Genomic DNA, 22,965 nt, shown 5'->3' on the forward strand with positions numbered 1-22,965 from the left:
CAGAGCCTCAGTGTTCTATCTGTAATATGGGGATAATAACATCATCTTCATCATGGAGTTTCTGTGAGAATTAAATGAGATAATGCACATAAAGCTCTTACTACAGTGAATATGAATAGTCCTGCTAAGTAACTGATACATGCTATCATTAAGATTATTTTTGGTATTGTGTTCTCTCTCTAAAGATTTTGCCGTAAATCAAATTATTGCCCTTCTGCTTCTAGAATATTTTATTGTTTTTAAAAAATGATTTTAAACCTTTACGTAATTGCTACATAGCTGAAGGTACGGCACGCTCTAGGACCAGACATGAATTTATGGCCTCCAGAACATGAGCAGTTTAGGAATAAATGCCTTTAACTCTATGCCTTTCCCTCCTCATGAAACCCATGTCAGGCGGCAAGTGAGTGAGGAAAAACTATTGGTCAATTTTTATTCTTTATAAATTGGTGTAAATCATGTGTACACGTTGTAGTAGCAGTTTTTTTTTTTTTTCACTATTCCTAAATGACTAGGAGACACTATAACATTGTTGCTGAAAAATGTGAAATAAATAGTATATTTTTCCTTTTTATTGATGTCGTCAGTAGTGTGGTACTCCTGAATTGGAGTGTGGGGTTGCTGTATAATTTGGATAACCTTGTTACCCACTTAAGAAGCTGTGCCTGCTCTTCAGGGCTTGCTTAGTTCAGCTTATCCCAGGGAGAGAGCTTCAGAAAGGTGGTGACAGCCTCTCAGAACTGTCCATCTCCTCTTTTTCAAGGACTATGGGTTCAGAGCATCCCATGAGCAGCCACAGAAGTGCTGGGCTGTGGCATCTGGTGACCCTTGGTGACAGGGATGGGGCTTCCTGGCCCTTTTCTGGGTCACTGGCCATCTTTTTTGGTGGCAGTCATACTGATGAATGGGGATCCTCATCTCCACTATTTGTTATATTATTAACAATGAAATAGGATGTATGTGGCATGTTTGTTAGACTTCAGAATTAGCTTGAGGAACTGAGCAAGTAAGCCTATTTGAAATCAGTTTCTGGATAAATATTGTGCCTTGTTTTGCTGGTCTGAGCACTTGCCAAATTGTGGATTTCTTGACATGGGTATTTAGCTCTAATTATGCTTGGTCCACTTGTGCATTTGCAAAACATATAATTATCAGGCTTTTAACAAAATGTCAGGCAATTTAAATGGATGGCGTTCTGTTAAGAAAATAAAAAAAATAGCTGACATTTACTGTAAGTCAGGCATGATTGTAAGTGCCTTACACACAATGAGGTAATAAATGTATTATCTCATTTAATCCTCTCAACAATCCAGTCAAGTTGGTACTGTTATTCCCACTTTACAGATGAGAAAACTGAAGCACAGAGAGGATCAGTAACTTGCTTTGGTTCACAAAGCCAGTGAGTGAGTGGGTTTCTTTCTTTCTTTTTTTTTTTTTGAGACGGAGTCACCCAGGCTGGAGTGCAGTGGCATGATCTCGGCTCACTGCAACCTCCAACTCCTGGGTTCAAGCGATTCTCCTGCCTCAGCCTCCGGAGTAGCTGGGACTACAGGTGCTTGCCACCACGCCCGGCTAATTTTTTTTTTCTATTTTTAGTAAAGACGGGGTTTTACCATGTTAGCCAGGATGGTGTGGATCTACTGACCTCGTGATCCACCTGCCTTTGCCTCCCAGAGTGCTGGGATTACAGGTGTGAGCCACTGCATCCAGCCTAGAATTGGGTTTCTTACCAGACATTCCAAATCATGGCTCTACTCTTACCTGCTGTGCCATATTTCATTCCTTTAAAATTGTATATTATTCCACTAAAAACATGTTAGTAGTATAATTCTAAAACCAAATTGAAATGGAAATCAACCTCAGTCAAGTGAAAAAAAATTTTTAACTCCTTGACTTAAAATAAATTTCAGCATAAATTCAATGTCCTTCATCCCAGCAAAGTTTGACTAGAGTGTTTCTGTTCCATTTAAACACACGATCAAGTGCGACGGTTTAGGAATCATGTTTTTTAGAAGGAGAAGGGAAACAAGTTGAAATCTACAGAACACTTTTTCTCATACATATATTGGAGGAAAGTAGGAAGAATTTCCTTTGATCTCATAAACCCCATTAACTCCTGTGTATCAGTGCTACTGGGGGGGAATGTCAGAGCCATTAAATTCCTCAGAGGGATTTAATGCACGACAGTCTAGAAGAGGATCTTGGAGAGTGTCCCCAAAGAAGAATGACTTAGAAATGTCACAGAAGGCATTAGAAGATAGAGTTTCAGGATTCACAGTTGCTCAGTGTCACTAGATTCTGTATACATGCAAAGAGAAATAATGGTGAAATCCAGGTGTTTAATTTGGTGGGGTGATGGGCCATGGTGGCCTTCGGAAGCCATTTCACTGGCCTGTAAGCACAAGGGTCTGAAAAAACGCAGGCAGCTGCTAACTCAGGAAACATTTGTTGTGGCACCAGCACATTCTAGTAAATATTTTTTTCGGGACAGAAAAGCTATGTGAATGTTCTAAAGCCTATGGAAAGGAAACTACTGAATAGGTAAAAAATAAATGTCACTATCTTGAGAATATATGCCAAAAATCATATGAATATCAATGATGTGATAAATCTCAATAGCATCTTTTCTTTTAAATTAAACCTTTTTACAAAAGGAAGAACTGGAAGTGCTGCTTGGGTTTCCATCTGTCGGATTTGGGCCATAAAACAGAGTTTTAAAACAATGTAAGCGGGTACGTGAGAGTTACACCTACAGCTGGGGCTGAGAGACGTGGGTTGTGGGAAAGCTGGCTTGTGCAGTCTAACCCTTTCCCTTGCCTCCCCATCACCATCCTTCCTTTCACTATCCTGGGTGCATCTTGGTAAGCTAGCCTATTTTCCATTCCTGTTCATCCGTATTAAGTATCTAAAATGCTTGCTAATAAGGATTAAGATGAGAACTTGCCCTAAGGTATGTACATGTTTAACAGCACCTCTCTGACCACAAGGCAGGCCGTTAAAGGTCTGTATCCAGCAGAAAGACCTGTCTTGTCACTTAGTTTTTCTTCACAACTCTTTATGTACCCAGAGCTTGGGTCCAAGGAAATATCCTGGTTTAAGGAGTGAGATTGGGATCAACATTTTAAAAAAATATTTGATATGTTTCCCCAAATGTCCCAATATTATTTATTGATTAACCCATTAATTTTTTTAGAGATTTGAAATGTCACCTCTATATCCCCAGACATGTCTGTGTCAACTCGCAAACCCACTATTCTGCTTCACAATTCATCAGTCAACTCGTGCCCTTGTCCCAGTCTTTGAATTTCTGCAGCTTTACAGTATGTTTATTTTTTAATTTTTTAATTTTAATTTTAATTTTTTTTGAAGCGGAGTCTCACTTTGTCGCCCAGGCTGGAGTGCGGTGGCGCAATCTCGGCTCACTGCAAGGTCCGCCTCTCAGGTTCACGCCATTCTTCTGCCTCAGCCTCCTGAGTAGCTGGGACTACAGGCGCTCACCACCGCGCCCGGCTAATTTTTTGTATTTTTAGAGACGGGGTTTCACCGTGTTATCCAGGATGGTCTCGATCTCCTGACCTTGTGATCCGCCCGCCTTGGCCTCCCTACAGTATGTTTTAATACATCATAAGGCTAGTTTATTCTTTTTTTTTTCCACAATCTTTCTGGCTATTTCTGCATGTTTATTTTTTTTCCGTGTTTTACAATCAACTCAACTATTTCTACTCCCTGCCATCTCTCAAAAAACCCTTGCTTGTGTTTTCACTGGGTTGTGTTTAAATTATGTATTAATTTAGGAGGAATTGGTATCTTGATAATATCAAGCTTTTCTATTCATTAATTTGGGCCTTCTTCTAAAGTTGTTTAAGGTTATCTACATATAGAAGAAACCTGTTAAGTTTAATCCATATTAAGGGTTTTGTGGGTTTTGTCATAAAGTGGGTTTTGTCATAAATAAAGTGACATCTTCATTTTATATTCTAACTGGGTGTTATTCATATATACAAAAGCCATTTTTTAACACCTAATCACTTTACTGAATTCACTCTCACTTGGTAGTATATTTTCAGTCAATGATGTCATCTGCAAAGAGTTAGTTGTTAGAGGGCAGAAAAGACATTCCACTATCAGGTAGTCACTTCAGTTGCATCCTTAAGCAGCCACAGACACCTAGAGTGATGATAGCTGTCATATCTATGTATTTTTGATGAAATTCTTGTTTTTTACTTTTACTTGTAAAATGGTTCAACCTTGCAGAAAATTATCAAACATGAACATACCTATCATCCATACTTAACAGATACTTTTTGCCGTATTAGTGTCAGATCCCTCCTTTTTAAACAAAAAAAAATATATAAAACACTTCAGATTACCCAAAGTCCTTCCACCCTCAGCCCTTCTTCCTCCTCTTCTCCAGAGTACCTGCTCCGCTGAAGTTGGCATCTCTTTATTCTTGTGCTAACTACTGCAGATACATATATGGAGCTTTAGTATTTTTAAAATGTATGCAAGTTGTATGCAAATTTTTAAATGTCTTCCTGATTTCAAAGTAATAAATATATGCTCAGAATGAAAATTCTAACCTTTATAGAAATTATGGGACAGAAACTTAAAGGGCTTCATAATAATCTCCTTAAGAAAGCCACTGTTGATAATAAGGTATATCATTTTTCTGCCTTTGATGTTATGTTGCGTATAGTAGAACCAAACACTGACCTGCTTAACAAAGAATGCCCTCCAGAGAAGAAAAAAACAATCAGAATATGTATTTACCATCATATCCTGTTCTCTACTAGTAGTTCTTTATTTTGTTAAAAACAAGAAAAGAAAGAAATCTCAACAAAGGTTACTAGGACCTTAAGTGGATTTCAACAGAGGAACCCATCACTGTTTACACTTCAAGCAACAGACTTATATAGATTTGATTCAGTTGAAGCACCTGATAGGAGCTGCTGCTTGCACAAAGCAGACGCCTTGATGAGCAGCTGGTAAACTTGGAGCACATATAAGACAATCAAAGGAAGTCTCCATATAAACTTCTCCATGCAAGGAAAGATGGTTTTTCCATTTGCCCTTTTCTGAGCACTTTAACTTCCTCATTACATGTTCCAAATTGTTTCAGAGACTATATAAACCATATGTTTGTTAAACGATAGAGACAAACATGGGGAAGTCTGATTAGCATCAGCTTCCCTCAGGAAGGGGGTTTCTTTCCCAACCCTGTTTAGCCTGCTCCATACTTATTGGACATGGGGTAAATAAGCAGAGATGGGAAACGGGCTTTAAACAGCTGCACCTGGCTATAGAGTTTCTGCTCCTCTTTCTACTGAAGCACTACTGTTAAATGGAATTGTTTCTTTTTATAGTAGATTTCCTAAAAGAGCAGTAAGGAAGGTGTAAAGACCTACATTATTTATTGCATAATGCAGAAGTTTACTGGCCTAGACGAAGTAATGATATTGGATATTGGGTGATAGTAAATTACTTTAAAAACAAACAAAAAGGCCAACATGTTTCCTGCATTTTGTTTTGGACCCAGAAGTCCAGTGGGCCAAGTTCCTTGTTCAGGCATATTCAATGACACAACTATGCAGATGTGTGGAAATAAACACTTGAGGTGAAATCATATAGCTGTGATTAGGGCAGCCACAGTTTATCATTCAAACTGGACATTTGAGAGGACTACAGGCATAAACTGAGCCCAGCAGCCATCCTGGGTCTTAATCAGTGGCATTGTAGTTGTCATTGCTTAAGAGAACAATTAATAAACATTTTAAAAAAGTATCTACTTCTGTCTTTATCCCCCAAAGACAAGAAATTAAAGCATTTATGACTGAAAATTGAAAAAGAAGCTGGCTGGGTGTGGTGGATCAGGCCTGTAATCCCAGCACTTTGGGAGGCCGATTACTTGAGGTCAAGAGTTCCAGACCAGCATGGCCAACATGGTGAAACCCTGTCTCTACTAAAAATACAAAAATTAACCAGGCATGGTGGTGCATGCCTGTAATCCCAGCTACACGGGAGGCTGAGGCAGGAGAATCACTTAAACCTGGCAGGCGGAGGTTGCAGTGAGCTGAGAGTGCACCACTGCACTCCAGCCTGGGTGACAGAGTGAGACTCCGTCACACACACACACACACACACACACACACACACACTTAACTAGTTTATTCATATTAGCTTATATTCATTTTCTGTGAACCCTTGGTTTTGAATTCTATTGGGATGACTTGATAGGTGAAACCACTTTATGTTGACAACATTTTCGAATTTGAGTCATCTCAAATGATGACTTTATAGCATATTCATTTCTTTGACTTTTATTTCTTTGGAAATACCTACAACGCCTACACACATGTCATTGTTTAGGGCCTTACCCCATGTTCACAATATTAGGTTGCTTCCATTTCTCTTTCTGAAGCAGAATTGTTTTTAAACAGAAACAGGTGCCTTTGACTAACAGGTTTTTTAACTTGTAAATTGGACCAAAAGAGTAATCATAAGGGGCAGAGAGAAAATAGTAACAAAGAAGCCTCAGTTCATCCTCTTTTTCTCTTGTTTTTGATGCTGTTGTTGTTGAGGTTTTGTTATGTTTGCTGTTTTATCCTGGTTTTGGTTTTTATCCTGAGTCCTATGCTGTTCAATGCATGTCTGATATAGTATCTATACAACATGATAAACTTGTTCTGTGTTGCTAAAAATTGACTGCTTTGTTTCTAGTAAACATAGTCTTTTAAAAAATGACCGTATTTGTTTGTAAAGCGTATTATTCACCTTCCTCTTTTTATAAACATCATGTCTACTTTGATAAGTCTCATTTTGGATGTGAGAAATATTTGACATATCCAAGTGTGGGTGTGCTGGTCTGTAGGCAGTCTCAGGAGAACTTTGGAGATAATCGTGCCACACAATCTTTTAATTAATACAGATTACTATCCTAGGAACAATTAGGCTTGATCAGAAGGCAATATTTTGCTTTTATAGATAACTGCATTTGCTGTTTTTTGAGGGCAGAATCTATCAAACCAAATTTTAGAAAAGATTATAAAGTTTTTCAAGGAGCATGACAAAAGAGTGGTTGACAGGTAGATGTCCATTCTGAGGAAAATAAATTCCAGGAAATCTTGAGCAAAGTGGCCTGTTCTGAAATTCCTCCTAGTGTACTGGACTAGGCACAAGGAGTTTTCTTTTCTCTAAGCTCCCCTGACATCATTCATTTGCATTTATTATTAAATGAGGTAATTATTCGATATTCCTAGCGTATATTAGAATTTATTGCATATTCATCCACTTATGTGACAGTTATTTATTGAGCACTCTCATGTTCACTCGCAAGGGTGCAGGTGCAGAGTAGAGGAAAAGCTGTATGTCACCAGGTTCGGGATTTGCCAGGCAAATACAATCAAGGAGATGAATGTGTATGCAAGATGTGATTTAACTGGGTACCAAGAAATGCAAGCTAGCTAATTTAATATGCATGAACAAGAGGACATGAGGGAATTAAGGGGGGGAGGCGGAAGGTTGTAGAGTCAATGGGTTGTAAGAACTGGTGAGTTAAATAATGGTTGGTGTTGAGGATTAGAGGAGGTGAGTTGGAAAGAAAGGCCATGCTGGTTAGAGAGTGGTATGTTTGACACTGGGATTACAGAGAGTTTGTAGTTGATGGTAATGACAAGGACTAAGGTATAACCATGGATTTGTGGCTGAAGTAGGGCAGAAAACAAGATCATCGGAGGAGAGTAAAGTCGGGGAATTGAGGGTACAGGGTAATGGAAAGATCCTTTACAGGAGACTTCAAGAAAGAAGTAGTGTTGGGGACTTGATGTAAATGACCGAGAGAGAGAGGGAGAGAGAGAGAGAGAGAGAGAGAGAGAGAGAGAGAGAGTGTGTGTGTGTGTGTGTGTGTGTGTGTGTGTGTGTGTGTGTATGAAGAAGTATTGTTGGAGAGAGACAGAGAGCCAGCAGTGAAACTCAAGGGAGAGGATCGGAAACGATCCAGGGGTCTATAGATGACTGTAGTTATGAGTTAGAGACTGATGCCATGAGCTTCAAAGCTGATGATGTTTCAGGAGGAGGAAGTGATCATTGTATAGAAGCAGGAATAAAAAGCAAGCAGGCAGAGAGCTCTCAGGAGACGCCTTGTTCTCTAGGGAGAGCCAGGTTTCTTTTAAGGCAAGAATGTGAAGGGAGGGTTCAGAGACGAGGCCAAGTATTTAGAAGACTTTACTAGTTTCTTAAATGAGGGAATTGCATTCCCAGAGGGTACAGTGGAAGGGGTTCAGGAACCAGCTGAGGAGTGGAAAAAAGTGGGGCCAGATTGGGCATGTTCACAGTGCGATGGGAATGGGAGTGCAGGAGAAAGAAGGATATTGGGGTTCCTGAGCCTAAGCAGGAATGGAGGGCATAATGAGATTAGTCCTGGTGGTTTGTGAAACAGGTGGTGAGGCTCTGAGTGTGGGACACAAGGATGGGTTGGGTGTCTTGCCAGAAGCAAGCAGACCTCTGGGGCTCTTCTCTTCAATGCATGGTCATTTGGAGATGGGGGGTTTGGGGGGTGAGGTCTTGTTACCCAGAGCATGAGTAGAAGGCTCCTCCTTCATTCTGCAAATAGAGATGTGGAAGCTGGGGAGGTACACCTGCTGGAGCATGACCAAGATGCATGTAAGGATGCAAGGATCACTTATTATAACAGTTCCAGGATGATGTCAATACTTGAGATGCAATTTAGTGTGTTACATCCATAAAAATAGTAATTAGGTTTAATTGGAGGGGGTTACATTGATTCATAATCAGTAGATAGAATTCAAATTCCAATTCATAGTTTAAAATAAGTCATTCTTTCCCTCTCCTTCCTGCCCACTCCTTGCTGTTTCCACCAAAATGTGCCTCGAAAACTGACAATGTCAGTCTTATCTGCTGAATAATTGACGTGTTCTTTTCCCTTTCCTTTACAGTGAAGAAAGTTACAACGTCAATGATTATTCCTTAAGAGATCAGCTATTGGTGGAATCTTGTGACAATGAAGAGCTTAATTCTTCTCCAGGGAAGAACAGCTCCACAATGCTCTATTCAAGACAGAGCTCTGCCAGTCACCTCTTTACTCTGACAGTCCTTAGTAACCACGCGAATGAGAAAGTGGAGATGCTACTAGGAGCTGAGACGCAGTAAGTATATGTGGGGAAAAGATTGGAATAGCTGATAGTATCTCCCTGACCTGATTTTCTTTGGTTTACAGACTTCCTAAAAACAGCAGCTACTATTCATGTTTTTGTTGAGCACCTACTGTTCGCTAAGCACTATGACTGGGTAATTTTTACAGATGTTGTTCTTTTCATTGTAATCTTCTTACAGGAGAAGGATGTTGTTATTTTTTCCCTATAAGTCCTGATAGATGCACTGTGCTTTAGGTGATGTCTTTATTTTTATAGAGTGGTTTAAAAATCATTTTACTTTTTTCATTGACAAAAATATGATACACTATCCTTAAGGAATATGACTCAACTGGTATTTTGAGTCTAGGCCATAAGCCTTCTTAGGTAATGGAATTCAGGTCGTTTCTCAGTCACCTACCTTCAACCAGAGAGCAGAAAGCCCAATGATTTCTGTCAAAAGAGCTACCCAGTTTACGGAAATATACTGATAAATCCTCTTTCTAATCCAGAGTTTATGCACGACCAAAACAGGCGTCCTGTTGGTGCCTGCAGTTTCGCCAGCAGTTAGTGTGCACTTAGTTCTCACATTGGATGAGTGGCAGTGAGGGTTAACTTTCAAGTCCACCTTAGTGATTTTTTGGTCCACTTAAAGATGACTGACCAATGTTTTTGTTTAGAAACTGGAAACTTCCTCTTGCAATAATCATCATGGGCAGATATTATATTGGGTCAGAGAGTGGAACAGTGGAGGGAAAGGAGAAGTTCCCTAATTCTTTGTCCTCTCAGATTCCTGCCTCCAACTCCATGTCTGCCAGGGTTCCTAAATGGTGTGGTTAAAATGGATCAGCAGCTGATGAATAACAACCCTAAAATTGTAGCAAGATCTTAGAGAAAGTGATCCCAAAGAGGTATCTTCACCTTAAGACTGATTTTAACAGTGTTCCTAGATGATTAACGAGAATATTCAAGAAAAGTTATTGAAGGACACTTGCTAAAGCGCAGTAAGCTTCGCAGCCTTTATGCAAGGTCATCTTAACAGGCGTAAGGACCATTGCAGCAACGTCTCCAGTAGGGGAGAGAGATTGGGCTCAACTTCCAACACAGCATGGGCAAGTGGGAATTCATAGCCATAGGGCAGGATGGAGGTCAGTGGATGGAAACTTACTGAGAGGAAATATCAGAGATAAGGGCTATTCTGGCTAAACTAACCAAACAGGATTCTTGCTGAAGACAGGCCAGGGTAATTAGACATCATAACCTCTGGGATGATGGAGAATAATGAATCTTATCAGATATTGAGGATGGGGTAGGGGATATTCTTGCCAAATTGACTTAGTAGGGTTCTTTGCTAAAACTGGATTTTACGAAGAACTGTACAGATGAGCCTAGGAGAAGGTACAGAAATCTAACTGAAGTTTGGCCAAGCCAAGAATCTTTGTCAAGAGACATAAGAAAAATGTGAAAATTACAAGGCACCCACATAAAATGTCAAATTATTTCATATCTTTTGGCACTAGAAGTAGCATTTCACAGGCTAGAGAAAAAACCAAGGACAGGTTGGTGAAAGCTGTAGCATATTCCAAATGAGCTGGAGAGTTCACCAAGGTAATGAAAAAAGAAATATATTTCATAAGGCTACAGCTACCATAGACAGTGGTTCCTCTGATGGATCTGGGCAAAGTAAATTAAAAGCCTTCTGGAAAAGATTCACCATCGTAGATGTCATTAAAAACATTCATAATTTCATGGGAGGAGATCAACATATCAACATGAACAGGAGTTGGGAAAAGTTGATTCCAACTCTCATGGATGACTTTGAGGGGTTCAAGACTTCAGCGGAGGAAGCAACTGCAGATGCAATGGAAATAGCGAGAGAACTAGATTTAGAAATGGAGACTGAAGATGCAACTGAATTGCTGCAATCTCATAATAAAACTTGAACAAATGAGGAGTTGCTTCTTCAGGATGAGCAAAGAAAGTGAAGTTGCTGTGAGCATTGTGGAAATGACAACAAAGGATTTAGAATATTCCGTAAACTGAATTGATAAAGCAGTGGCAAAGTTTGAGACGATTGACTCCAATTTTGCAAGAAGTTCTGCAGAGGATAAAATACTATCAAACAGCATTGCATGCTATACAGAAATCTTTCATGAATGAAAGAGTCAATTGATGCAGCAAACTTCACTGTGGTCTTAAGAAACGGCCACAGCCACCCAAACCTTCAGCAACCATCACCCTAGTCAGCAGCCATCAAAAAAAAAAGGGAGCTTCATCTTCATGTGTTTGTTTACAAAACAAACAAATGCCTTTCTCTGAGATCCCAGAGTTCTTCCCCTAAAGGTGCTGAAAAGCGCTGATGGCATTCCAAGCATGCCCCTCTGTGTTTGCGGCTGTGGGGAGGTGAGCTTGGGTGGGCGTGTGCTTGCTGATCTGTGAGGTGACCAGCAAGTGACACACCCAAGACCAGGGTCAAGGGGAGGCATTACTTGAACTCCAAAAGTGGTTTAAACCTCTTGGCCAGTGAGGACAAACTAGACTTCCTTTGTGTGGGGAAACTTCTCCTCAAAACAGAATTTTTAGTATGCCTGTGCTTTGGATTTTATATGACTTTAAGGATGAGAATGACTTTAACACTTTGGAAATCAGTAATTTTCCAGTGTTCCAGAGAATTCTCAGAAACTAGAGACTTCCCTTTCCCCGTATAGTTAGTAATGGTGAAAGTGTTGCTGGTTTTGCCTTGTGTTTTCCTTTTCTTTGGTTTACAAGGATTGTTTGTTCTTTATTCAGGCCTTGCCAACATCTCAACAGAGATTTTCCTGACTGTCTCATTCATAATTTATGTAGTCTCCACCACTCATTTCTGAGATGATTCCAAGAGAGTAGGAGGTGAACTGACATGTCCAGCTTATTTCACGCCAAGGCTAGATCCTTTCCTGGGACATTCTGTAGCATTTGTTCCATCCTTTTGCCTTTTAATCTTGCCAAAGACTGAATGGTTGTTCGTTTCCTCAATCAGACATGTTCTCAGAATATTTAGTCATGTCACTTGGAAACCCATAGGTCTGACTCATATTTGTAGTTATTTAATTAATAGCAAGAGAACATTCCAGAAGGGGCATGGGACAGAGGTCTCCTTGGGTACAGAGGGAGTGACTCTCTCATTCTCTTTGCTCTCCCCACCCCCACCCTCAATTACAGTTGAGAAGTAAATAAATGGACATGCTTTCAAGACATAAAATAGTATTGGTGTTGAAAAAATATATTTAACAACTAAAGACGCACTTTCCTTAAAAATAAAAAAGACTATTAAAAAACCTGGCAAATTGTTACATGCCATGTTTGCAAATATGCAGGTTAGCTTTGGGCTACCGAGTTTTGAGCAATTAGAGTTTTGATATGCATAGAATGTGTTATTTTCTTCCAACATTTGTGAAATGCATCAATAAGTATATATTGTTTAGGTTTTCTTTCTTTTATGTCTTTTTGGTTAATATGGTTCATTGGCAATCTAGTTGAAAAAACAAGGTTTGCACTACCATTCTAGCCTTAAGTAATTGAAGAACTTAGAGTCAGGTATATAATTTCACTACTTACTCTTTGACCTGAAAAATAATGAATTTTACACCTAAATCTTTACTTTCTTTGAAAAACTGTTGTCACTAAAGGCCACCTGAGGATATACAACATGTAAAATCAGCAGTAGGAGGGGTGCAGCTGTTTGGCACAAGGACAATTCAACTTCATAAGACAGTGAAATTGTGGAAGAAAAATCAATGGCTTTGATTACGTAAAGAATGCAGAAATGCTCACCAAAAGGAGTTGGGGCAAACAGTGAGCATCTGGGATATGCCAGGCACTGAGCCAGCTATAGAACATGACGAAGGGACCCATGGGTGTTTCTAGAGGAGGACAGAATTTTGAGCTGAAGAAAGCATATAGGGAAGTGATCAGACATCTTGGTTTTCCCAGAATCAGTTGTTCAAGTTTGGGTCCGTTGTCCTGGTGAAATTATGAATGATACTCTTTTTGACTCTCAAAAGGTCCTCGTTTATACAATGAAATATATGGTGACCCTAATTATATATAATTATAATATTACATAAAACAAAATATTATCAATAACAAATTATAAATATATACACATATTTATAATTATATACATGGTCCAACTCTCTCATTTTCTTCCCCCATGTGAAGTGACTCACAAAGGCCATACAGGAAGTGAGTTATTGCCAAAGCTGGAACTAGAATCTGGCCTTCCTGACAGTCTAGCAGTCTTTCTAGTAACAAATTTTATTCTTTTTACGGAGAAGCTGCCAACCAGTAGGCTGTTCCACCCCCACTTTGCTGCTCAGTTTGGCTTGTTCTGGATTTGGAAGGAAACCTCCAGGAAGTCAGTCGCTATTAACTGTGAGAAACTACTAAAATATAGAATTTTTTAAGTCCAAAGACTTTATTATTTTTTATTTTATTTTATTAAGACAGAGTTTCACTCTGTCGCCGGGGCTGGAGTGCAGTGGCACGATCTCGGCTCACTGCAACCTCCCCTTCACGGGTTCAAGTGATTCTCCTGCCTCAGCCTCTCAAAGAGCTGGGATTACAGGTGCTTATCACCATGCTTGGCTAATTTTTTTATTGTTAGTAGAGACGGGGTTTCACCATGTTGGCCAGGCTGGTCTCAAAACTCCTGACCTCAAGTGATTTGCCTGCCTCAGCTTCCAAAAGTGCCAGGATTACAGGCGTGAGCCATTGTGCCCGGCCTCAATCCGTAGGCTTTAAAAAGGAAAAAAGATTGTGGAAACCTAGATGTTAAATTTAGGATATCATATGGGTTAGAATATTTTATGATAAAATGCTAAATAGATATTGCATCCCCAAAATTATTTTCCATGTTAAACTTCCTTTTTTGTTCCTTTGCCTGTGTTTTTCATACTTCCTGGAATGCCCTCTTCAGGCCTCCTCAGATGGCCAGATGGCTCCTCTTAGGGCCCATGTCAAGCCTTTCCTCTGCTGAGGAGCCTCTCAGTACTGCACACTGCAGTCTCATCTTGAGAATGCCCAGTGCTCGCTGTGTGTGCCACTCATTAGTTCACTTTTCCCCTCATGTTTTCTGTCTCACCCACCCTCCACTGTATGACTCCAAACTCCCAGCCTCCTGCTACATCCTTCCTTTCCTTTACAGAACTTCTCAAGAGAGTGGCCTTCATTTCTCCAGATTAATTCAGTGGATTTTTGTCAGGCACCTACTTCCCATCAAGTGTTATTCTCAGTGCTGGGATGTAGCAGTGAACCATACGGAGATCAGATCTCTGCTCTTAGGCTTATATCCAAGTGAAGAACCGATCCCCTTGGGCTTCCTGCTCTTAGGAAGGGTGACTTTGGATGGAAGGGAGCTTTGGCCAGTCTGCCTGGGCAAATGGTCTGCAATGAGCTAGGATGATGGGAAAGTATTTCTTCATGATCCAGTTAAAAATAAAGGATCATTTCAGGTAGTGGTAAGTGCAGTGAAGACCCTAAAGCTGGTGATGTGATCCGGAGTGAGTGCTAATTGGGGGGTGGTGAGGATAGGTACTCTAACTTAGGTGGTGCAGAAAGACCTCTCTTAAGAGGTGATATTTGAGCCTTGAGTGAAAAGGAGGAGTCAACCCTTAGGAAAATGCAGAGTCAGAATGTTTCAGCCAAAGGGAACAGCAGGTGCAAAACCTCTAAGGAAACGAATTTAGTGTTCTCAAACTTGGCTTGAACATGGAGAATGTGGCTGGAGCAGAATAAACCAGGGAGAGGGGTGGCAGTCAATGGGCAACAAAGTCCAGTTTGTCTTCAGAGCTACCCCAGTGCTGTCTGTGGGCCATCAGTCCTCAAGTAGTTACCAGCCTGGTATGTAGGAAGCAGTTTGACATTTCTGAGGCATCAAAACTTGTGATTATTTTAACAATTAATTTATTTTTACTGTATTTCTAAAAATGCTTGGTCTGCAATGGATTCAAGGGGTGGAGACTGGTTCTCTACCAGAGATATCTCGAGAAACACTGATTTAGAACCACATAAGCCATAGCAGGAAGTTCCAGGAACAACAGGGGCCCTGGGGACAGAAGTTTCAGTGGGGCAAACAATAAGAACCCTAACCCTAATCCTGTTGGAGTAGTCGAGGGGAGTCCCGATGTTGGCTTGGACCGTGATATGTAGGAGGAGATAGAAATGTTATATTTTGGAGACAAAAACAACAGGACCAACTGATGGATTGGATGAGTTGAGGTGGCAGTAAGTGGAAGAGAGGAATCGATGATATTTAGATTTTTGGCGTGAGCTGCTGGCGTGAGCTGCTAGCTTGAGTTGTTTCTTAATCAAGGTAGGGGTACGTGCAGTGAGTTGTTAGCTAGTTGAGTTGTTTCTTAATCAACCTTGGCGTGACTTCTTCCTCTGGCACCCTGTTGAGGCCTCTCCATCAGATTAACAGGCTTCCTAGTTTCACACCCAGCAGTCCAATCTTCCTTTCTTTACCTCTAGTATCATTTAGTTTTATTGACCATCCAGCTCTTTCATGCTAACCCTTTTTTTGAGATTATGTTTTTCTCAGCCTCTTATCTATGCTCTTAGTTTGCCTCTCACACCTATGACCATTCCTCTTCTCTGTCTCTTCAGAAATGCAGCCTGTCCAAAACCAAACATCAACACTGCCCGTGGCTTTCCCCGACACACACATTTCTGTAAATGGTACTATTGACACTCTTTTGCGTTATCCAGTCTGGAGACTTGGTGCTGTTTTTGATGCTTCTGTGTCAGAACAGATCCATCACCTGCCAGTTCTTCCTGTGTAAAAGTCTATTTCATCTTTCCCCATCTTTCCATTCCACTGCCTCCTTCCTAGGTCAACCACATGGCTTTTGAACTACCCCAATGGCCTCCTAGCCATTCTCCTCTCCCATCAATACAGTAGTTTTATCACTAATCCCTAAGCTCAGCTCTAGTTTTGTCCTTTCCTTGCTTTGTACATAGCGAGTAGGTTCCCAATAAATATTTTTGGGATTGACCCATAATTATTATAACTAGCTTTTCTCTATCTGAGACAAGGTAGAAGAGTAACCAGGTGTGGAGAAAAACTGCTTCCTGTCTCTATTTACTGCCCTTTTTGTTACTGCTGGAGCAGGTTTTTCCCAAATTTTACTTGTTTTTCAATTTTTTGCTATTAAGGATTCAGTCAAATGTTTTTTAGGATGTACGTCGAAGTCATGTATACTGTGTTATATCTGTTTGTCCATGACAGGCCCTAAGTCATGGTATCGTCAATGAGACAATACTCTGTGAAAAATACAGAAGTCTACCCTTTATAAAAGGACAAAGGAAGAATGTTTTACCACTGTCATTCTTTTTTCCCTCTGGGCCTTTCAAGAGGAATGTGGGAGCCAGAGAGCCCCCTTTGTCTGCCTTCATTAAAATGAAGCACAGACAGCTGCAGCTGGCACACACAACAGGCTGTGGCAAGTGGAGTCCTTGGCTTCCTGCATTTGCAGTAAAATTTAGATGTCATTTGGGTGTAGTGTATACCGTCATGAAACATCTAGGACATGTTCAGTGATGAACACAAACTTTCCTCACTCATTATATGTCAGTTATAGGATATGATGACCTTAGCCCATAATCAAATATCCTTCTCAAAATTTCTCCCTCACAGAGCTAGAAGCATAATGAATGTGGTTGGTGCTGTCAACCATCCAGACACCAATTCCTGGGCCTCCTGATAAAGGGGCATTGTTTGCAGGGAGTCTTTGAGCTTTTCCTGCTTCTGTTAATGATTTAATTAACAACAGGAAGTACATGGAATGGAATAAAATTGTAAATAGTATCTCTGACATAGTCATATACTTCATCCTTTTAGAAAAATCACAACATAAAGACAGTATACATGGAAACATTTTATTTATTGTAGGGTATAGCATTTTTTTCCTTGTTAAATCTAAATTCTAAGTCCAGTCATAATCTTACATTTATCTAGTGCCTGTCAAAGGATCTGATCTTAATGTGGTCCTCATCACCAACCCCAATAGGACAAGAGGTCTTTTATCAGCAGGAAAACATCATTGACCCGCTTCAGGTTAACTGAAGGACTCTGGACCAGATTTTTTAGGTCTGAGCTAATGTAATATGATAAACAAGAAATAATTGATTTAACTATATAGCATGTGACAAAAATCTAAATTTTAGAACTCTTAGTGGGCTAGGGATATTATTTTGCTTCAGTTAGATTTTTTAAAATTTGGCAAATTGAACTGATATCTAGTTTTTTAAGGCCTGGTCTCAGCATTTTTAATGACTTTTTTTCACGCTATGGGGCTTTCTTTCATGGATCAGTTTTCTGAACTAATCTAGTTGAATTGAGTTTGTGAGGGAATGAACAGAAACAACTATCTTCACAATCCTATTCTTTACAAAGGTTCGAAGGACTTTAGAGAAATCAAAAGGAACCACAGGTAAATGTGTAGGCTGTAAAAAGAAACACAAAAGGTAACTGGTCAAATGCCACTTTGGGAGGGATAAAAGGAAGGTTAAAGAGCAACTAAGGGCTATTTTTTTCTATTGAGAAATCAGAAAACCCTGTTAGTGATGGAGTCCTCAGCCAATGTTCTGTTCTGTGCAGCCTCACCTGCAGCCCTGTCTCTGTGATTTCAAAGCCTACTTCCTACTTTCTCAGTATGTATCTATGTTTTGTAGCTGATGCCTGGTATTCCATAAGAAGTGAGACTTTGCTGTATCTTTGACCTTCATGCAATTAAGTTAAACCTACTGTGCATAATGAATTATATGAGAGACAGGACAAGGTGCTACCATAGCTGATAGGAAACTGTAGAAACATCATTTCATGCCATGCATGGAGAACTTGAGGGTTATGAAAAGACTACATTTATAGACATTTAAGTTAAAAGAGTCTCTTTTCAATTTAGTCGTCTTTCTCTACGTAGGTCAAATGTTTTGGTAGAGTGTTCCATTTCAGCACACTGCATGCTGTATTGGATTTTGTGAGTGTTTTCTGCTCTGTGTGTTCCCTCATACTGAGGGCGGTAAAAAGCAAGGGACTCCAGTGTATTTGCTGTGCACCTCTCCAAGCTAGCCCAGGGCCTGTGCAAAGTGAATGTGGGTAGAGGAAGGAGTGGTAAGGCGAGTCTTCAAAGTTGATATGCCACAGATGGGATTCAGTGCAGCATTGCTTACTCTTGTCACTTTGTGCAAAGGGAAAAGTCTGTGAACTGGCTGTGTGGTAGATTGTGAATTCATCTCAATTGTTTTATATCGATACGTCCCTGGAGAAAATAGATGTCTGTGAGTGAGCCCTAGACTTCATGTCTAAATTTAATCGTGGGTAAGTCTATGCCCTGGTTTTTCCTGTCCCTAGAATCCATCTTATAACAACTTAGTTCCTGCTTTAGAGATGTAGTACTTTCTGCTTCATAGCTGGGGGAGCTCCTTAGCAGGCTCTTTTTTTTTGAGACGGAGTTTTGCTCTTGTCGCCTAGGCTGGAGTGCAATGGTGCACTCTTGGCTCACCGCAACCTCCGCCTCCCAGGTTGAAGCAATTCTCTGCCTCAGCCTCCTGAGTAGCTGGGATTACAGGCGTGCACCACCACGCCCAGCTAATTTTGTATTTTTAGCAGAGATGGGGTTTCTCCATGTTGGTCAGGCTGGTCTCGAACTCCTGACCTCAGGTGATCCCTGCCTCGGCCTCCAAAAGTGCTGGGATTACAAGTGTGAGCCGCCCCGCCCGGCCTCTTGGCAGACTCTTGAAAGCCCCAGGGGAAGTCCTGTGGATTTGACAGCATCTAAGAGGGGGGGGTGGGACTCACTCAATTGAAAGTCTCAAAAAGCTGCTCCTTTTAGTGATAGCAACAAGGAGTGTCTTGTTCTATCCTCTGGAGTCCCTGTGAGGGGTGGCCATGTCTAAGAGATGCTATTAGCATCCAGGCAGCATGCCACAGAAGTGAAAGATTTCATCTGGACTTCTGGAAACTGGCTGTAGGGCAAAGCCACTGCTGATACTGGCCACTCAGTGCCAGAGACGGTGTCTGTGTACAGGAAGATCTGCCTCACTGGCTCCAAGTTGCTCTAAATTGCTCCAGAAGACAGCAGTATAGGCTATGTATAATTTGTTTCAGTATGGCATAGAGAGACACAAATGGATCATTTTAGATTTCTCTTGGTGAGCAACACTTCTATTCATGAGGTATTTTGTTTTCGATTGGCTTTGTACTTTGCAAATTCCACTTGAGCCTGTGTAAAAAATAGATCTTATTCCCAATAAAGACATCATAGCAAAGATACAAGTGTTTGCCTGGGAATTATTTTACATGAAGTTGTGCTTTGCTTATTTCTTACAGAACTATTGTAAAGCCCTTTGTCCTGTATTAGAGAGAGAGAGAGAGAGAGAGGTTTTAAAAGCAAGACAGGAGCCTTGGCTTCTATATAAATTGTGCATATTACTACTTGACACACCATCTTGATCAAGGCCCAGCCTCATCTTAATCTTTGAAAATGCCTGTCTTTCAAGATACCACAGTTTCCACCCTTCCTGCCTTCCATCATTATTTTGTAAACACCTGCTGCGTAACACCACCTCTTTGATTTCAGACTGCCTGGGTTAGGTGCTTAACATACCAGACTTGCTTTGTCCTCTGAAAAAAATAGAAATAATTTTGGTAATATTTTCTTTTCAAGATTGTTGTAAAAATTAGATTAGATGATACTTGCAATTGTTTAGTACCATACCTGACACATAGGTGCTTCAGAATATTATTTAGAACAAGGCCCAATTCCTGCCATTCTGGAGTTTATAGCCTGGTAAGAGAAGCAGATGAGTCAGTAAATGATTGGGCTCAATATGTGATGAGTTATATAATTCATTCATTAGCAGACATATACTGAGCCCCTGTTACGTGTTGGGCAATGTTGTAGAGATAATGCAGTGAACCAAATGGATAAGCTGCCTGCTTTTATGAGGCTTACTGTTGACCAGCAATATAATAGAATTGTGCAGAGGGGTGCCCTAGAAACAGGATTATCAGACTGGGATGGAGATGGAAGGATTGGTTTATGTATCAGAGGAGCCCCCACTGGAGGAAGTGAGCCTTGTGTTTTCAGCATTGAGTGGATATATGTTGAGCAAAAGAAGCCAAATACAAAAGCATACATACTAAAGGATTTCATTTGCAAAAAGTACAAAAGAAGCATGGTAATAGAAATTCCATGGTAATGGAAAACAAGAGCAGTCACCTTTGGACAGAGGTTATTGATTGGAAAGGGTCAGAATGGAAATGCCTGGCGCATCTGTGTCTTGGTAAGTAAACACAGAGCTGTACACGCTTATGATTAACTCAGTTTATGTTATGTATGTTAAGAAATTTTAATGGCAATAATGAGTGGGCTTATCTACGCAAAAACAGGGAAGGAATAGGAAAGGCTGGGGCAAGGGTGCTATGTTCCAATGCGGTAAGTCATCCTCTCTGCCTGGGTTGGAAGGATGCATATGGGGATGAAGGTGGGGTGACAGCGACAAGCATCTGTAGATTCAGGCTGCTATGAGAGAAGAGTTTTTTTCCCCAGGTGTTGGTCATGAAGGCATTTTTTCTTAAGAATGTAGAGTGGCACAGTAGAAACTGACTTTGGTTTGAATTGCTTGCCTCTGAACTTCTGTCTGATCTTAGCATCCTTCAGATGGGCTTTTGAGAGGATTACATGGAATAGTGGATGTTGAGTGCAGTGTCTGACATGTAGCATGTGTTTAATAAATACATAAGAGAGTTAAAAGTATGTGTGTGGCGGGGCAGTATTTAATTAATTGTAATTTTAATACTTGGTGCTCAAAATAAAAAACCAGGGTGACTGCATTATGTAGAGAAGTGCTTGCTTATCTGAAACTTTTGATCCTTTAGTTGAATAATTATTTTTATGTAATTATAGCTTAATATTATATTAAAAGTATTGGTCATTTTTCCTGTGCTCATTAAACCATTTTAAGCATTTGGGAACAGTGTAAAAGTGGCCAAAGAATTTCTATTTCAGTAAGACTCATATTTGGCAAAATTAGTTGTATGAGGGATGAGACAACTAAATATGTCAAGTTTCTCAAGTTTACGGAAAGGTTTGAGTGTGTGGGAAGGGAAGTGGGGAGGAAGCAGAGAAATTAGTAGGATTTTTAAAAAATGAAACTTAACTGCTTTTGAAATGTTAAACATCAAATTATGGGTATGCTAAATACCTTTTGGAGTTATAATGTGTTCGTGTAATCAGCTCCTTATTAACTTTTAAACTGTCATATGGGAAGTTCCTTTTAATCAATAATGAGCCAAGTTCATTCAGACTCTTTTGACAATGATGACTAGTCTCCTGCTTATTTTAGACTTTCCAGCTTATCACTTTTAAACTACTCTCACCCTGTTTTACCATACCTCTCTAGAGAATCTCTTGTTTTCTGGGAGTGCCTTTGCATTGGCTGCCTAGAAAACACTCCATTCTGTGTTTTTACACCTTGAGTCTCTCAGTTGGATCTGCCCTCTGTTTTAGGAGCGAGCGAGCCCGCTGGATAACTGCCCTGGGACACAGCAGCGGGAAGCCGCCTGCAGACCGAACCTGTAAGTTCTCTCAAGGGGAAGCCCACTTGGGAACATGGATGGGCTCTGCCCCCTGCTGGACGCCGGGTTACTAACGAGTTATATTGCCACAATACTTGCCTAAGTTTCCTCCAGGGCTTCCTTCTGCTTTACACCAAAAATGTATGATCCTTGCTTTGGAAGTCAGGGGGTCTGAATTCAAATCCAAGGTGCATTTCTTTGTTGTGTAAACGTGTCAAATCATTGCTTAGCATTGCAGAGCCTATTTAACCATCTGCAAGTCAGTTACACCATTATATACAACATGGGGTTATTGTGAAGATTAAGTTAAATAATCTATGTTAAAAGCCCTACTTGAACTGTAAAGCCCTTAAATTTTTAGCTATTATCAGTGGGCAACAGTTGATCATGTTTAAACCTTCTACATACTGACAGTCTGGATTTAAGCTGAAAAGTATTTTTAATCTAAAAGAAAATTACCTAAGAATTCTTTTTGACCTTCTAAGAAAGTGTGTTTCACTATTCTAGAGAATTAGAAACTGGCGCAGTGAAGGGGGGTGTTGTATGCCTATTAGCTTCCTAACTTTGATGCTGTGGTTTCTTAGATTATTACAGTTGCAAGGTCAAATCCAAAGAATTAGAACAAAACATTGTTATCCTGGAACACTCAAAAATTATAGCTTTAAGCTTAGATTAAAAGCCAAAATGACTGGTTTGAAAGTTCCCGGAAATCAAGCTTTGTATTAAAAAGCAAATTAAGAAGTCACATGTCAGCATTTTGTTTGTTTGTTTTGAGATGGAGTCTCGCTCTGGTGCTATCTCAGCTCACTGCAAGCTCCGTCTCCTGGGTTCATACCATTCTCCTGCCTCAGCCTCCCAAGTAGCTGAGACTACAGGCGCCCGCCACCATGCCCAGCTAATTTTTTGTATTTTTAGTAGAGACGGGGTTTCACCGTGTTAGCCAGGATGGTCCCAATCTCCTGACCTCGTGATCCGCCTGCCTCGGCCTCCCAAAGTGCTGGGATTACAGGCGTGAGCCACCGTGCCCGGCCACATGTCAGCATTTCTGAGGAGGTCTAACATGACTTCTCAGCTTTTGGTTGGAGCTCATTTTATTTCTAAACTTTTTTTTGGAAACTTTCATGTGCTGCTGTTGGGATGGGGAGACACTCTGATGAGAGCCAGGAGAACTGTGTCTGTTGCAGATTTTGCATGGCCTTG

At 40.4% G+C, this 22,965-nt stretch overlaps 1 protein-coding gene and 1 long non-coding RNA gene across 6 annotated transcripts in view; one reads left to right on the forward strand and one right to left on the reverse strand.

Annotated features, from left to right (window-relative positions):
- Positions 1-22,965, forward strand: part of ARHGEF26 (Rho guanine nucleotide exchange factor 26) — a 136,823-nt gene that overhangs the window by 110,416 nt on the left and 3,442 nt on the right. For all 5 annotated transcript variants that reach the window (NM_001251962.2, NM_015595.4, NM_001251963.2 and 2 more), the window contains 2 exons: positions 8,952-9,161; positions 21,698-21,765. In NM_001251962.2, coding sequence (NP_001238891.1) covers positions 8,952-9,161; positions 21,698-21,765 — 278 coding nt within the window. The remainder of the gene's footprint in view (positions 1-8,951; positions 9,162-21,697; positions 21,766-22,965) is intronic.
- Positions 17,050-22,555, reverse strand: LOC105374167 (uncharacterized). The gene is made up of 2 exons (XR_924597.4): positions 19,904-22,555; positions 17,050-19,809 (listed from the first exon to the last, which is right to left on the reverse strand). It is a non-coding gene; the product is annotated as an uncharacterized LOC105374167 (long non-coding RNA).

Source organism: Homo sapiens, chromosome 3, assembly GCF_000001405.40.
Source record: "Homo sapiens chromosome 3, GRCh38.p14 Primary Assembly".
NCBI lineage: Eukaryota > Metazoa > Chordata > Mammalia > Primates > Hominidae > Homo > Homo sapiens.